The 16,709-nt window shown below is 43.4% G+C and overlaps 1 protein-coding gene and 1 pseudogene across 2 annotated transcripts in view, besides 1 other annotated feature; both read right to left on the minus strand.

The window, feature by feature from the left end:
* The window catches only part of UBXN7 (UBX domain protein 7), an 84,766-nt gene that overhangs the window by 30,858 nt on the left and 37,199 nt on the right, over positions 1–16,709 (minus strand). For both annotated transcript variants that reach the window (XM_011512671.3, NM_015562.2), the window contains 2 exons: positions 15,035–15,100; positions 13,294–13,406 (listed from right to left, as the gene is read on the minus strand). In XM_011512671.3, the coding sequence (XP_011510973.1) occupies positions 13,294–13,317 (24 nt within the window). In that variant the 5' untranslated portion in view covers positions 13,318–13,406; positions 15,035–15,100. The remainder of the gene's footprint in view (positions 1–13,293; positions 13,407–15,034; positions 15,101–16,709) is intronic.
* Positions 2,311–2,888: an enhancer, noted in NCBI's record as "H3K27ac-H3K4me1 hESC enhancer chr3:196107701-196108278 (GRCh37/hg19 assembly coordinates)". NCBI's record gives its function as "activates a minimal SCP1, AML or CMV promoter by ChIP-STARR-seq in primed H9 embryonic stem cells {active_cell/tissue: H9 hESC(primed)}" and the evidence as "EXISTENCE:reporter gene assay evidence [ECO:0000049][PMID:30033119]".
* On the minus strand, positions 15,191–15,293 carry RNU6-1279P (RNA, U6 small nuclear 1279, pseudogene; annotated as a pseudogene).

Raw genomic sequence — 16,709 nt, forward strand, 5'->3', positions numbered from 1 at the left:
GCCAATTTTTATGTTTATTTCTTGCTTATATGCTAATCAAGGAGTGGATTACTTATGAGTTTTCCAGGAAAAGGTTGGGCAGTTCCGAGAACTGAGGGCTCCTCCTCCTTTTTAGACGATACAGGGCAACTTCCTGATGTTGCCATGGCATTTGTAAACTGCCACTGCACTGGTGGGAGTGGAGCAGTGAGGATGACCAGGTCACCCTCATCACCATGTTGGTTTTGGGGGATTTTAGCCAGCTTCTTTCCATGTTGGTTTTGGGGGGTTTTAGCCAGCTTCTTTCCATGTTGGTTTTGGTGGATTTTAGCCAGCTTCTTTCCATGTTGGTTTTGGGGGATTTTAGCCAGCTTCTTTCCATGTTGGTTTTGGGGGGTTTTAGCCAGCTTCTTTCCATGTTGGTTTTGGGGGGTTTTAGCCAGCTTCTTTCCATGTTGGTTTTGGGGGGTTTTAGCCAGCTTCTTTCCATGTTGGTTTTGGGGGATTTTAGCCAGCTTCTTTCCATGTTGGTTTTGGGGGATTTTAGCCAGCTTCTTTCCATGTTGGTTTTGGGGGGTTTTAGCCAGCTTCTTTCCATGTTGGTTTTGGGGGATTTTAGCCACAGCTTCTTTCCATGTTGGTTTTGGGGGGTTTTAGCCAGCTTCTTTCCATGTTGGTTTTGGGGGGTTTTAGCCAGCTTCTTTCCATGTTGGTTTTGGGGGGTTTTAGCCAGCTTCTTTCCATGTTGGTTTTGGGGGATCTTAGCCAGCTTCTTTCCATGTTGGTTTTGGGGGATTTTAGCTTCTTTACTGCAACATGTTTCATCAGCAAGGCCTTCATGACCAGTTTCTTGTGCTGACCTCCTATCTCATCCCATGACTTAGAATGTCTAACCTTCTGGGAATGCAGCCCACTAGGTCTCAGCCTTATTTTACCGAGCCCCTATTCAAAATGGAGTTGCTCTGTTTTAAATGCTTCTGACATTTCCTCCCTCCCTTTTACAAGAGAACCCTTAATCCTAAGGGTTGTAGAGGGAAAAAGATTCAACTTCCGTAACTTCTTCATGCTTAATAGGGACGATGGTATTCCTGTCTATTAGATCTCTTGCATTCAGAGTAGAGAGGACCTCAGTCTGAAAGCATCTGTATGGCGAGCGCCATTCCTAACTCTTGAGTCCCAACAGAAGGTGGTATCCTTCAGCCAACTGGTGCTCACAGATGATTTTCCTTTGGGTTGGGGGTATCTTCGGTATCATCCCTTCTGTGATTCGCCAGAAAGATGTTACTGGGCCCCACCACTTAACCAAAGTTAGCCTTTGGGTTGGGGGTTTCCTCAGTATTGTCCCTTCTGTGGTCGCCAGAATGATGTTACTGGAAAGGGGTCCGGATCCAGATCCCAAGAGAGGGTTCTTGGATCTAGTGCAGGAAAGAATTCAGGGCGAGCCTATAGAGTAAAGTGAAAGCAGGTTTATCAAGAATGTGAAGGTCATGCCTGTAATCCCAGCACTTTGGGAGGCCAAGGCGGGTGGATCACGAGGTCAGGAGATCGAGACCATCCTGGCTACCAGGGTGAAACCACATCTCTATTAAAAAATACAAAAAATCAGCTGAGCGTGGTGGCGGGCGCCTGTGGTCCCAGCTACTCAGGAGGCTGAGGAAGGAGAATGGAGTGAACCTAGGAGGTGGAGCGTGCAGTGAGGCAAGATAGCGCCACTGCAGTCCAGCAGTCCAGCCTGGGCGAAAGAGCGAGATTTCATCTCAAAAAAAAAAAAAAAGAATGTGAAGGAATGAAGAACAGCCACTCCATAGGCAGAGGAGCCTTCCATGCTGTTTAGTAAGCAAACATGGTGGTAAGGCAACTTGAATCATGCAGACAAGGGCAAGCAAGACCTAGGGGATGGCAGAACAAGACAGAAAAAAATTCTGCAACTCTAATAACTTTACAGAGCTAATCATCCTAATAGCCTGGACTTCCATCTTGCTTAAGCTACTGTTTGTTTGTGGTGGGGTGTTCCAAGATGGCCAAATAGGAGCAGCTGCAGTCTGCAGCTCCCAGCATGATCAATGCAGAAGACGGACGATTTCTGCATTTCCAACTGAGGTACCTGGTTCATCTCACTGGGACTGGGTGGAGAGCGGGTGCAGCCCACGGAGGGCGAGCTGAAGCAGGGCAGCGTGCCGCCTCACCTGGGAAGTGCAAGGGGTCGGGGAAATCATTTCCCTTTCCTAGCCAAGGGAAGCCGTGACAGACTATCTGGAAAAACGGGGCACTCCCACCCAAATACCGCATTTTTCCCAAGGTCTTAGCAACTGGCAGGCAAGGTGATTCTCTCTCGTACCTGGCTTGGCAGGTCCCACGCCCATGGAGCCTTGCTCACTGCCAGCGCAGCAGTCAGAGATTGATCTGTGAGGTGGCAGCCTGGCTGAGGGAGGGGCGTCCGCCATTGCTGAGGCTTGAATAGGTAAACAAAGCGGCTGGGAAGCTTGAACTGGGCAGAGCCCACCACAGCTCAACAAGGCCTACTGCCCCTAAACTCCACCTCTGTGGGCAGGGCATAGCTGAACAAAAGGCAGCAGACAACTTCTGCAGACTTAAACGTCCCTGTCTAACAGCTCTGAAGAGAGCAGTGGTTCTCCCAGCATGGTGTTTGAGCTCTGAGAACGGACAGATGGCCTCCTCAAGTGGGTCCCTGACTCCCGTGTAGCCTAACTGGGAGACATCTCCCAGTAGGGGCCGACAGACACCTCATACAGGCGGCTGCCCCTCTGGGACGAAGCTTCCAGAGGAAGGCTCAGGCAGCAATATTTGCAGTTCTGCAGCTTCTGCTGGTGATACCCAGGCAAACAGGGTCTGGAGTGAAACTCCTGCAAACTCCAACAGACCTACAGCTGAGGGACCTGACTGTTAGAAGGAAAACTAACAAACAAAAAGGAATAGCATCTACATCAACAAAAAGGTCATCTACACCAAAATCCCATCTGTAGGTCACCAACATCAAAGACCAAAGGTAGATAAAACCGCAAAGATGGGGAGAAACCAGAGCAGAAAAGATGAAAATTCTAAAAATCAGAGCGCCTCTTCTCCTCCAAAGGATCGCAACTCCTTGCCAGCAACGGAACAACGCTGGATGGAGAATGACTTTGACAAGTTGACAGAAGTAGTCTTCAGAAGGTCGGTAATAACAAACTTCTCCAAGCTAAAGGAGGATGTTCGAACCCATCGCAAGGAAGCTAAACACCTTGAAAAAAGATTAGATGAATTGCTAACTAGAATAAACAGTGTAGAGAAGAACTTAAATGACCTGATGGAGCTGAAAACCACAGCACGAGAACTTCGTGACGCTTGCATAAGCTTCAATAGCTGATTTGATCAAGTGGAAGGAAGGGTATCAGTGATTGAAGATCAAATTAATGAAATAAAGTGAGAAGACAAGGTTAGAGAAAAAAGAGTAAAAAGAAACAAACAAAGCCTCCAAGAAATATGAGACTATGTGAAAAGACCAAATCTACGTTTGATTGGTGTACCTGAAAGTGACGGGGAGAATGGAACCAAGATGGAAAACACTCTTCAGGACATTATCCAGGAGAACTTCCCCAACCTAGCAAGGCAGGCCAACATTCAAATTCAGGAAATACAGAGAACACCACAAAGATACTCCTCAAGAAAAGCAACCCCAAGACACATAATTGTCAGATTCACCAAGGTTGAAATGAAGGGAAAAGTGTTAAGGGCAGCCAGAGAGAAAGGTCAAGTTACCCACAAAGGGAAGCCCATCAGACTAACAGCAGATATCTCTGCAGAAACCCTACAAGCCAGAAGAGTGGGGGCCAATATTCGACATTCTTAAAGAAAAGAATTTTCAACCCAGAATTTCATATCCAGCCAAACTAAGCTTCATAAGTGAAGGAGAAATAAAATACTTTACAGACAAGAAAATGCTGAGACATTTTGTCACCACCAGGCCTGCCTTACAAGAGCTCCTGAAGGAAGCACTAAACATGGAAAGAAACAACCGGTGCCAGCCACTGCAAAAACATGCCAAATTGTAAAGACCATTGATGCTAGGAAGAAACTGCATCAACTAATGGGCAAAATAACCAGCTAACATCATAATGACAGGATCAAATTCACACACAATAATATTAACCTTAAATGTAAATGGGCTAAATGCCCCAATTAAAAGACACAGACTGGCAAATTGGATAAAGAGTTAAGACCCATCAGTGTGCTGTATTCAGGAGACCCATCTCACATGCAAAGACACACATAGGCTCAAAATAAAGGGATGGAGGAAGATCTACCAAGCAAATGGAAAGCAAAAAAAATGCAGGGGTTGGCCGGGCACAATGGCTCATGCCTGTAATCCCAGCACTTTGGGAGGCCAAGGCAGGCAGATCACGAGGTCAGGAGATCGAGACCATCCTGGCTAACACGGTGAAACCCCGTCTCTACTAAAAATACAAAAAAATTAGCTGGGCGTGGTGGCAGGCGCCTATAGTCCCAGCTACTCGAGAGGCTGAGGTGGGAGAATGGCATGAACCCAGGAGGCAGAGCTTGCAGTGAGCCCAGATCGCACCACTGCACTCCAGCCTGGGCCACAAAGCAAGACTCCATCTCCAAAAAAAAAAAAAGAAAAAGAAAAAAACACAGGGGTTGCAATCCTAGTCTCTGATAAAACAGACTTTAAACCAACAAAAATCAAAAGAGACAAAGAAGGCCATTACATATTGGTAAAGGGGTCAATTCAACAAGAAGAGCTAACTATCCTAAATATATATGCATCCAAATTCAAAAAGCAAGTCCTTAGAGACCTACAGAGAAGAGACTTAGACTCCCACACAATAATAATGGGAGAATTTAACACCCCACTGTCAATATTAGACAGATCAATGAGACAGAAAGTTAACAAGGATATCCAGGACCTGAACTCAGCTCTGCAACAAGCAGACCTAATAGACATCTACAGAACTCTCCACCCCAAATCAACAGAATATACATTTCTTCTCAGCACCACATCACACTTATTCCAAAACTGACCACATAGTTGGAAGTAAAGCACTCCTCAGCAAATGCAAAAGAACAGAAATCACAACAAACTGTCTCTCAGACCACAGTGCAATCAAATTAGAACTCAGGATTAAGAAACTCATTCAAAACTGCACAACTACATGGAAACTGAACAACCTGCTCCTGAATGACTACTGGGCACATAACGAAATGAAGGCAGAAATAATGATGTTCTTTGAAACCAATGAGAACAAAGACACAACGTAACAGAATCTCTGGGACACACTTAAAGCAGTGTGTAGAGGGAAACTCATAGCACTAAATGCCCACAAGAGAAAGCAGGAAAGATCTAAAATTGACACCCTAACATCACAATTAAAAGAACTAGAGAAGCAAGAGCAAACACATTCAAAAGCTAGCAGAAGGCAAGAAATAACTAAGATCAGAGCAGAACTGAAGGAGATAGAGACATAAAAAACCCTTCAAAAAATCAATGAATCCAAGAGCTGGTTTTTTGAAAAGATCAACAAAATTGATAGACCACTAGCAAGACTAATAAAGAAGAAAAGAGAGAAGAATCAAATAGACGCAATAAAAAATGATCAAGGTGATATCACCACTGATCCCACAGAAATACAAACTACCACCAGAGAATACTATAAACACCTCTATGCAAATAAACTAGAAAATCTAGAAGAAATGGGCAAATTCCTGGACACATACACCCTCCCAAGACTAAACCAGGAAGAAGTTGAATCTCTGAACAGACCAATAACAGGCTCTGAAATTGAGGCAATAATTAACAGCCTAACAACCAAAAAAAGTCCAGGACCAGACGGATTCACAGCCAAATTCTACCAGAGGTACAAAGAGGAGCTGGTACCATTCCTTCTGAAACTATTCCAATCAACAGAAAAAAAGGGAATCCTCCCTAACTCATTTTATGAGGCCAACATCATCCTGATACCAAAGCCTGGCAGAGACACAACAAAAAAGGAGAATTTTAGACCAATATCCCTGATGAACATTGATGCGAAAATCCTCAATAAAATACTGGCAAACCGAATCCAGCAGCACATGAAAAAGCTTATCCACCATGATCAAGTCGGCTTCATCCCTGGGATGCAAGGTTGGTTCAACATATGCAAATCAATAAACATAATCCATCATATCAACAGAACCAACGACAAAAACCACATGATTATCTCAATAGATGCAGAAAAGACCTTCAACAAAATTCAACAGCCCTTCACGCTAAAAATTCTCAATAAACTAGGTATTGATGGAACGTATCTCAAAATAATAAGAGATATTTATGGCAAACCCACAGCCAATACCATACTGAATGGGCAAAAACTGGAAGCATTCCCTTTGAAAACCGGCACAAGACAAGGATGCCCTCTCTCACCACTCCTATTCAACATACTGTTGGAAGTTCTGGCCAGGGCAATCAGGCAAGAGAAATAAATAAAGGGTATTCAATTAGGAAATGAGGAAGTCGCTCTCCCTCTCCCTCTCCCCTTTGCACGGTCTCCCTCTGATGCTGAGCCGAGGCTGGACTGTACTGCCGCCATCTCGACTCACTGCAACCTCCCTGCCTGATTCTCCTGCCTCAGCCTGCCGAGTGCCTGGGATTGCAGGCGCGCGCCACCACGCCTGACTGGTTTTCGTATTTTTTGGTGGAGACGGGGTTTCGCCGTGTTGGCCGGGCTGGTCTCCAGCTCCTGACCGTGAGTGATCTGCCAGCCTCGGCCTCCCGAGGTGCCGGGATTGCAGACGGAGTCTCGCTCAGTCAGTGCTCAATGTTGCCCAGGCTGAAGTGCAGTGGCGTGATCTCGGCTCGCTACAACCTCCACCTCCCAGCCGCCTGCCTTGGCCTCCCAAAGTGCCGAGATTGCAGCCTCTGCCCGGCCGCCACCCAGTCTAGGAAGTGAGGAGCGCCTCTGCCCGGCCGTCATCCCATCTAGGAAGTGAGGAGCGTCTCTGCCCAGCCACCCATCGTCTGGGATGTGGGGAGTGCCTCTGCCCCGCCACCCCATCTGAGATGTGAAGAGCGCCTCGGCCCGGCAGTGACCCCGTCTGGGAACTGAGAAGTGTCTCTGCCCCGCCGCCACCCACTCTGGGAGGTGAGGAGCCTCTCTGACCGGCCGCCCCCTCTGAGAAGTGAGGAGCCCCTCTGCCCAGCAGCCGCCCCGTCTGGGAAGTGAGGAGCCCCTACGCCCGGCAGCCGCCCATCAGGGAGGTGGGGGGCAGCCCCCACCCGGCCAGCCGCCCCGTCTGGGAAGTGGGGGGGGTGGGGGCGCCTCTGCCCGGCCGCCCCGTCTGGGAAGTGAGGAGCCCCTCTGCCCGGCCGCCACCCCATCTGGGAGGTGTACCCAATAGCTCATTGAGAACGGGCCATGATGACGATGGTGGTTTTGTCGAATAGAAGGGGGGGAAATGTAGGGAAAGGAAGGAGAGATCGGATTGTTACTGTGTCTGCGTAGAAAGAGGTGGACATAGGAGACTCCATTTTGTTCTGTACTAAGAGAAATTCTTCTGCCTTGGGATGCTGTTTATCTATGACCTTACCCCCAACCCCATGCTCTCTGAAACATGTGCTGTGTCCACTAAGGGTTAAATGGATGAAGGGCGGTGCAAGATGTGCTTTGTTAAACAGATGCTTGAAGGCAGCATACTCGTTAAGCGTCATCACCACTCCCTAATCTCAAGTACCCAGGGACACAAACACTGCGGAAGGCAGCAGGGCCCTCTGCGTAGGAAAACCAGAGACCTTTGTTCACATGTTTATCTGCTGACCTTCCCTCCACTACTGTCCTATGACCCTGCCACATCCCCCTCTCCGAGAAACACCCAAGAATGATTAATAAACACTAAAAAAAAAAAAAAAAAAAAAAAAAGGAAATGAGGAAGTCAAATTGTCCCTGTTTGCAGATGACATGATTGTATATTTAGAAAACCCCATCGTCTCAGCCCAAAACCTCCTTAAGCTGATAAGCAACTTCAGCAAAGTCTTAGGATACAAAATCAATGTGCAAAAATCACAAGCATTCCTATACACCATTAACAGACAAAGAGCCAAATCATGAGTGAACTCCCATTCACAATTGCTACAAAGAGAATAAAATACCTAGAAATCCAACTTACAAGGGATGTGAAGGACCTCTTTAAGGAGAACTACTAACCACTGCTCAACGAAATAAAAGAGGACACAAACAAATGGAAGAACATTCCATGCTCATGGATAGGAAGAATCAATACCTGAAAATGGCCATATTGCCCAAAGTAATTTCTAGATTCAATGCCAACCCCATGAAGTTACCAACGACTTTCTTCACAGAACTGGAAAAAACTACTTTAAAGTTCGTATGGAACCTAAAAAGAGCCCACATTGCCAAGACAATCCTAAGCAAAAAGAACAAAGCTGGAGGCATCATGCTACCTGACTTCAAACTATACTACAAGGCTACAGTAACCAAAACAGCATGGTACTGGTACCGAAACAAATATATACTATATCTGTTTCAAACTATACTACAAGGCTACAGTAACCAAAACAGCATGGTGCTGGTACCAAAACAGATATACAGACCAATGGAACAGAACAGAGGCCTCAGAAATAACACCACACATCTACAACCATCTGATCTTTGACAAACCTGACAAAAACAAGAAATGGGGAAAGGATTCCCTATTTAATAAATGGTGCTGGGAAAACTGGCTAGCCATAGGTAGAAAGCTGAAACTGGATCCCTTCCTTACACCTTATACAAAAATTAATTCAAGATGGATTAAAGACTTAAATGTTAGACCTAAAACCATAAAAACCCTAGAAGAAAACCTAGGCAATACCATTCAGGACACAGGCATGGGCAAAGACTTCACAACTAAAACACCAATAGCAATGGCAACAAAAGCCAAAATAGACAAATGGGATCTAATTAAACTAAAGAGCTTCTGCATGGCAAAAGAAACTACCATTAGAGTGAACAGGCAACCTACAGAATGGGAAAAAATTTTTGCAATCTACCCATCTGACAAAAGGCTAATATCCAGAATCTACAAAGAACTCAAACAAATTTACAAGAAAAAAACAAACAACCCCATCGAAAAGTGGGCAAAGGATATGAACAGACACTTCTCAAAAGAAGACATCTATCTATGCAGCGAACAGACACATGAAAAAATGCTCATCATCACTGGTCATCAGAGAAATACAAATCAAAACCACAATGAGATACCATCTCATGCCAGTTAGAATGGCAATCATTAAAAAGTCAGGAAACAACAGATGCTGGAGAGGATGTAGAGAAATAGGGACGCTTTTACACTGTTGGTGGGAGTGTAAATTAGTTCAACCATTGTGGAAGACAGTGTGGCGATTCCTCAAGGATCTAGAACTAGAATTACCATTTGACCCAGCAATCCTATTACTGGGTATATACCCAAAGGATTATAAATCATGCTGCTATAAAGACACATGCACACGTATGTTTATTGCAGCACTATTCACAACAGCAAAGACTTGGAACCAACCCAAATGTCCATCAATGATAGACTGCATTAAGAAAATGTGGCACATATACAACATGGAATACTATGCAGCCATAAAAAAGGATGAGTTCATGTCCTTTGCAGGGACATGGATGAAGCTGGAAACCATCATTCTCAGCCAACTATCACAAGGACAGAAAACCAAACACCACATGATCTCACTCACAGGTGGGTATTGAACAATGAGATCACTTGGATACAGGGCAGGGAACATCACACACTGGGGCCTGTCGGGGGCTGGGGGGCTGGGGGGCTGGGGGAGGGATAGCATTAGGAGAAATACCTAATGTAAATGAGTTGATGGGTGCAGCAAACCAACATGGCACATGTATACCTATGTATCAAACCTGCATGTTATGCGCATGTACCCTAGAACTTAAAGTATAATAAAAGAAATAAATAAGCTACTGTTTGTTTTTTTTTTTTCCAGTCTCTCTCACATGCAGTCAAACCCTTACTCTTGATCACCTAGAACTAGGTCCTGCAACACAAGGCCTCAATAAATATGTATTGAGTGAACAAGTGAATTAATCAGTCTCTCTCATCTGGTTAGCATGAGCCAGAAAGAATCCTTGAACATGACCTACCTCTAGTTACACTAGCTTCTAAGCCTGTAAAACTGTGGCTCACATTTACATCTAATATGAGGAACAAACCTATGGGCCCTCCTTGGTCAGCCAAAGAGTATCCCTCTAATTTTTAACATTTATCTTTCTAAACTTCAATGACTTAATTTTGCTTGTTATCTCCCTAATTGTTATAAAACTAATACATGTATCATTAACCATAATGAAATACCTGCTTTTGGAAGGGAATATTTATTTCATTTAAAGTCTTGCAGATGGTTAAGTATAATATTATCAGTGAAAAAAAAAATGGACTGCTGTAAACACAGGCCATGAAATACAAGGCAAAAAAGGTGATATAACTTAAATTTCAGGGGACAACATCAAAAGAGATTCGTATTTTCCCTTAATGACCAAGCAGAAAAGTAACTGCTTTTTCACTCCAAAGTGACCAAACTAAATCAAGCTTAGTTACTGCATTACGTCCTAGAGCAACTCATAAGCTAATAAAAATAGAACACGTGCCAAAACAAACTAAGATCCTTTTCTGCCTTTAATATTGCTGCTATTCTCTCTCTCAATGGCTGTAGTATCACCAGAATACTAGAAAGGATAGGCAGCTGCCATGTTGAGACCATGAAGGAAAGATGAAGAAAACTGAGGAGACATCTAACCTGACATCTTTGAGCTTATGAATGAACAGCAATAATTTCTTCAACTCTAGGCTTATTACTGACAAAAAGAAAGCATTGTTTGGTCAAATTATCATCATTTGGGTTTTCTGTTACATGCAGCCAAACCACTTTCAAGGTTTTCTGATTCAGAAAATTGAAACTGGAGAGCACGCTGATATGGTTTGGAAATTTGTCCCCTCCAAATCTCACACTGAAATGTAATCCCCAGTGTTGGGGGTGGGGCCTCGTAGGTGGTGTTTGGGTCATGGGGGCAGACCCCTAGTGAATGGCTTGACCCCTTGCTCCTCGCACCATGTGCTACACCGGCTTCCCCTTTGCCTTCTGCCATGACTGCAAGCTTCCTGAGGCCTCACCAGAAGCAGATGTCAGCACAATGCTTTCTATACAGCCTGTAGAAACGTTGAGTCAAAATATACCTTTTTCTTTATAAATTGCCCAGTCTCAGGGATTCCTTTCTAGCAATGCAAGCAAACTAACACACAAGCTTACATTGAAATTCCTTCTCCTAAATACTTCATGTATGACAGTGTAAAAGTATATCAAAGGACACATTTAAAAAAAAATAATCATAACATATTCAAATATGCAGCTGATATACATCGGTTGTTTATTTTAAGAAATGGGGTTTCAGCTCATGCCTGTAATCCCAGCACTTTGGGAACCAAGGCAGAAGGATCACTTGACACCAGGAATTTGAGACCAGCCTGGGGAACACAGCAAGACCCCCTCTCCACAAAATATTTTTAAAATTGGCCAGGTGTGGTAGTGGGTGTCTGTAGCCCTACTTATTTGGGAGGTTAAGACCAGGGGATCAATTGAGACCATAAGTTGGAGGCTGCAGTGAGCCATGATTTTGCCACTGCACTCCATCCCAGGTGACAGAATGAGAACCTGTCTCAAAAAAAAAAGACAAAGAAAAGGGAAAGATAGGGTCTCACTATGTTGCCCAGGCTGGAGTGCAGTGGTTTTCATAGGCATGATCATCACACACCACAGCCTCAAACTCCTGAACTCAAGGGATCCTCCCACCTCAGCCTCCCAAGTAGTAGTTAGTTTGGGGCACCTGTTGGGCTTGATACACATCATTCTTGCAGTTATTCTTTGGCCTACAGGGTCCTAACAGGTAAGACTTAACTGAAGGCTGGGCGCGGTGGCTCACGCCTGTAATCCCAGCACTGTGGGAGGCTGAGGTGGGCAGATCATGAGGTCAGGAGTTTGAGACCAGCCTGGCCAATATGGTGAAACCCCGTCTCTACTAAAAATACAAAAAATTAGCCAGGCGTGGTGGTGCGCACCTGTTTTCCCAGCTACTCAGGAGGCTGAGGCAGGAGAATTACTTGAACCTGGGAGGCGGAGGTTGCAGTGAGCTGAGATCGTGCCACTGCACTCCGGCGAGACTCCATCTCAAGGAAAAAAAAAAAAAAAAGACTCAACTGAAATGTAACTGATTTACATCTATGGAAATGCTATTGTAATTCAAAAGAGCATTAACATGTTAATCAACACGAAAAGGCAAGCTGTTTGAACACCTCAACAGAAGAGTATCTAAAATCTTTACTAAACTCCTTCATTTAACATATGTGTTCCTCCTAATGCAAGAGAATGGGTCCCAAGGATTATTAAAAAGAATGATCTTTCCTCTGCCCTAAGTAAGTCTGTAAGTTAGCATACAACCAAGTAAACATACTCTGGAAAGTTTTTGTTTGGGTTTAGTCACGATAAAACCAAGAAGAACTGAGGGTGAATGTGTTCTCCAATTAGAGATATTCTTTTCAAACACATTACGATCCGCACAGAAATATAGACAAAAGACACCTATCAACAATTTACAAATGGCTAACAAACCACACACACTATTCTCAGTAGTAGTCAAAGATATATGAACAAGTGAGATATTTTAAAAAGCTATCAAAATGGCAAAGATTCTAAAATGACACCGCACAAGGCTAATAAAAGGATTTCATCAATCTCATATACTGCTGGTAGAAATATATTTCATATATTGCTGGTAGAAATATAAATCAATGTAACCTTTAGGCATATCATGTAGATATACTTATTATAATGCCAATTCCCTATACACTGACAATGGTTTTTTGTTCTTATAAAAATAAAAAATGCCACTGAAGGCCAGGTGCAGTGGCTCACACCTATAATCCAAGCAGTTTGGGAGGCTGAGGCAAGAGGATTGCTTGAACCTAGGCATTCGAGACCAGCCTGGGCGACACAGTGAGACCCTGTCTCTACCAAAAAAATTTTTTTAATTAGCTGAGTGTGGTGGCACATGCCTATAGCCCTAGCTACTCGGGAAGCTGAGGTAGGAGGATCCCTTGAGCCCAAGAGTTCAAGGCTGCAGTGAGCTATGATTGTGTCACTGCAGTCCAGCCTGGACGACAGAGCGAGACCTGCTCTAAAACAAGTAATTTTTTAAAAAAAGGCATTGAAAATGCAAAAGGATTCATAGTTAAGGCACTGACTCTCCAACAACTTACTGTTTCAAAGCTGCCTTTATGCATCAAATCAATGGGTGGCCGGAATAGATCTGCAAGGGTAGTTAATTTCTTATCGATAGCTCCTCCATTTCTTAATTCTTGTTCTTGCCGAACTATAATACAGAAGGATGAAAGTTTCAGTTAGCCATAATCATGAATCACACTGAAAAAAAAAAAAAAAAAAACACAAACTTCTGTCAATTGAAGGAATTGCTGTCAATATGCTTGACCTCAAATACAAAGATCTAATGTTGACTCTGAAAAAAAAAAATGCAAAGGGAGATAAGAGGAATCTTAAGACTTGGTGGTATTCCCTATCCCAAGGATACAAAGAAAATTAACTGAAAATATTCACTTAATCAAAGTAACCTCTTCACATATTCAGAAACTAACTGTAACATGGGAGAGGCTGAGTGCGGTGGCTCATGTCTATAATTCTAGAACTTTGGATGGCCGAGGTCAGCAGATCACCTGAGGTCAGGAGTTTGAGATCAGCCTGGCCAAGATGGTGAAACCCCGTTTCAACTAAAAATACAAAAAAAAAAAGCCGGGCATGGTGGAGCATGCCTGTAATCCCAGCTACTCGGGAGGCTGAGGCAGGAGAATAGCCTGAACCCTGGAGGCAGAGGTTGCAGTGAGCAGAGATCGCGCCACTGCACTCCAGCCTGGGCAACAGAGTGTGAGACTCCATCTCAAAAAAAAAAAATTAGCCAGGTGTAGTGGCGCATGCCTGTAGTCCCAGCACTATGGGAGGCTGAGATGTGCGGATCACCTGAGGTCAGGAGTTCAAGGCCAGCCTGGGCAACATGGTGAAACCTCATCTCTACTAAAAATACAAAACTTAGCCGGGTGTGGTGGCACAAGCCTGTAGTCCCAGCTACTTGGGAGGCTGAGGCAGGAGAATCGTTTGAACCTGAGAGGTGAAGGTTGCAGTAAGCTGAGATCATGCCACTGCACTCCAGCCTGGGTGACAGAGCGAGACTCCATCTCAAAAATAAATAGTAATAATAAAAAAAAGATTATGACAGTAGAGATGATGACCACTGTTGTCACCTTCCACTGGAAGGACACAGGATTCCCTAGATGACTTGAGTCAGTTTAGGTTCCCCATCAATTCTCTCCAAAGTCACAAGACCTATCTGTGCCTCAATGAACTCATTCTAAATAAACTACAAAATCAAGCATGGTCCAAGGGTTTCTCATATATCCTAACCTAACTGTCCTTTCTTTAGGATTCCATTGCTAAATCAATACTAAATCCTCTAAAAGCATAAGACCAAGATTCTCATTCTAATTTATTACACAAAAATATTTCAAATAACTGTAGCCAAAATATTAATAGTGGCTGCTTTGGGTGGCATGGCTTTTCCTCCTATTTTTCAATCTCTTATAATAACCATTTTCATTATATATTCCTTTCATTGACAGAAGTCAGGATCCTGAGGGAAATCAGTTTATTTTATTATAGTAAGCATTTTAAGTGTTTATTCACAAGCGAATTAAGTTTATCAATTACCATATTTCCTACATTATCTCCATCTCCTTTACTATTTTTCTATAACCAAATAGGTTAGAATTTGGAACAATTTAGCTCAGGGGAGAATTAATCACATTCTGGATCCATAATTTCACTTTTTAAAGAAGGTGAAAACTTAAAAGTAATTGGGCCTAATAGTAATCATCTTTGTCTTTTTAATAGGAAGAGAAGAGGGAGATGATAAACTGGTCCATAGATACCTACTAGTTTCAGTCTGAAAATCCCGGAAACCATCAAAAATTGAACGTGCAGGCCGTCGTCTTTTAGGAGCTTTGGGGAGAAAAAATAGAATTGAAAATTTTTTAAATTAATTTTGAAACAATTCTAAAAATGTCCTTATCTAAAAGTATTTTTTTAATAAAACATATGAAACCCTTCACGAACTGCATGTCACCCTTGCACAGGGGCCGTGCTAATCTCTGTCTCGTTCCAATTTTAGTAAATGTGCTGCCGCAGCGAGCACAGTATTTCTTGTTTTAAAACACTCAAGATTCATATGGTGCCTTCCCTCAAAAAATAAAAAAGTTTAAAAACTTTCAAATCATTCATGTATAATTAATCCAAACATCTTCCATCCAGTCATCTTGTATTACAAATGAGAAAATTCAGGCCCAGTTACAATAGACTTAATCAAACTTGTGTAAAAAGTTTACTATCGGCTGGGCATGGTGGCTCATGCCTGTAATCCCAGCACTTTGGGAGGCCAAGGTGGGTGGATCACCTGAGGTCAGGAGTTTGAGACCAGCCTGACCAACATGGTGAGCCCCTGTCTCTACTAAATACAAAAAATTAGCCAGGCGTGATGGTGCATGCCTGTAATCCCAGCTACTTGGGAGGCTGAGGCAGGAGAATCACTTGAACCTAGGAGACAGAGGTTGCAGTAAGCCAAGACTGCCATTGCACTCCAGCCTGGGCAACAAGAGCGAAACTCCATCTCAAAAAAAAAAAAAAAAAAAGTTTACTATCCTGGCCAGGCACTGTAGCTCACACCTCCTGTAATCCCAGCATTTTGGGAAGCCAAGGCAGGTGGATCACCTGAAGTCGAGTTCAAGACCAGCCTGATTAACATAATGAAACCCTGTCTCTAATAAAAATACAAAAAAACTAGCCAGGTGTGGTGGCACGCACCTGTAATCCTAGCTACTTGGGAAGCTGAGGCAGGAGAATCACTTGAACCTGGGAGGTGGAGGTTGCAGCGAGCCAAGATCACGCCACTGCACTCCAGCCTGGGCAAGAAGAGTGAAACTCCGTCTCAAAAAAAAAAAAAAGTTTACTATCTTAATATCCAAGTGGTGATATCAGGAAGAAAGAAGATTTTGAGGATGATGCCACGTAGAGATGAAGCCACACACATGCTGCAGATATCCAATTCAGGTTAGCCCTGTTGTATAGAGTAACTCTACATTCTAAACCATAAGACTTAAGGACTATTTCTTAGGGATTGGATTGGACCCACGTGCAGAACCATAAAGACAAAAAACATCTTTAATTCTGGAAACTTTTTTCACAGTTACACAATGGTTTAATGACAGAAAAGTAAACAGATCCACCTAAGGTATTCCACTACCCCTGTAGAGTGTCTATTACCCAGTCTTTAAGTATTTTACAGATAAGGTGTAGAATGCTAGAATCAAAATGTTATCTTCCTATATCTATGTGTTCTTAAACCTAAACAAATTACCAGATCATTTATGTACATTACAATAAATAAAGGCTTTTCATGATTCCCTCAATATGGGTAAGTAACTAAGTTGGCTTATGGCAAGGCTGGCCAGCATGTAACCAGAATAATTATCTGTTAATAAATGATTAGTATCAAGATTAGACAGAGACTACAGAATCCCCTTAACGCGTGTCAAAACATCTTTCCCAATAACTC

The sequence above is a fragment of the Homo sapiens genome, chromosome 3, assembly GCF_000001405.40.
Source record: "Homo sapiens chromosome 3, GRCh38.p14 Primary Assembly".
NCBI lineage: Eukaryota > Metazoa > Chordata > Mammalia > Primates > Hominidae > Homo > Homo sapiens.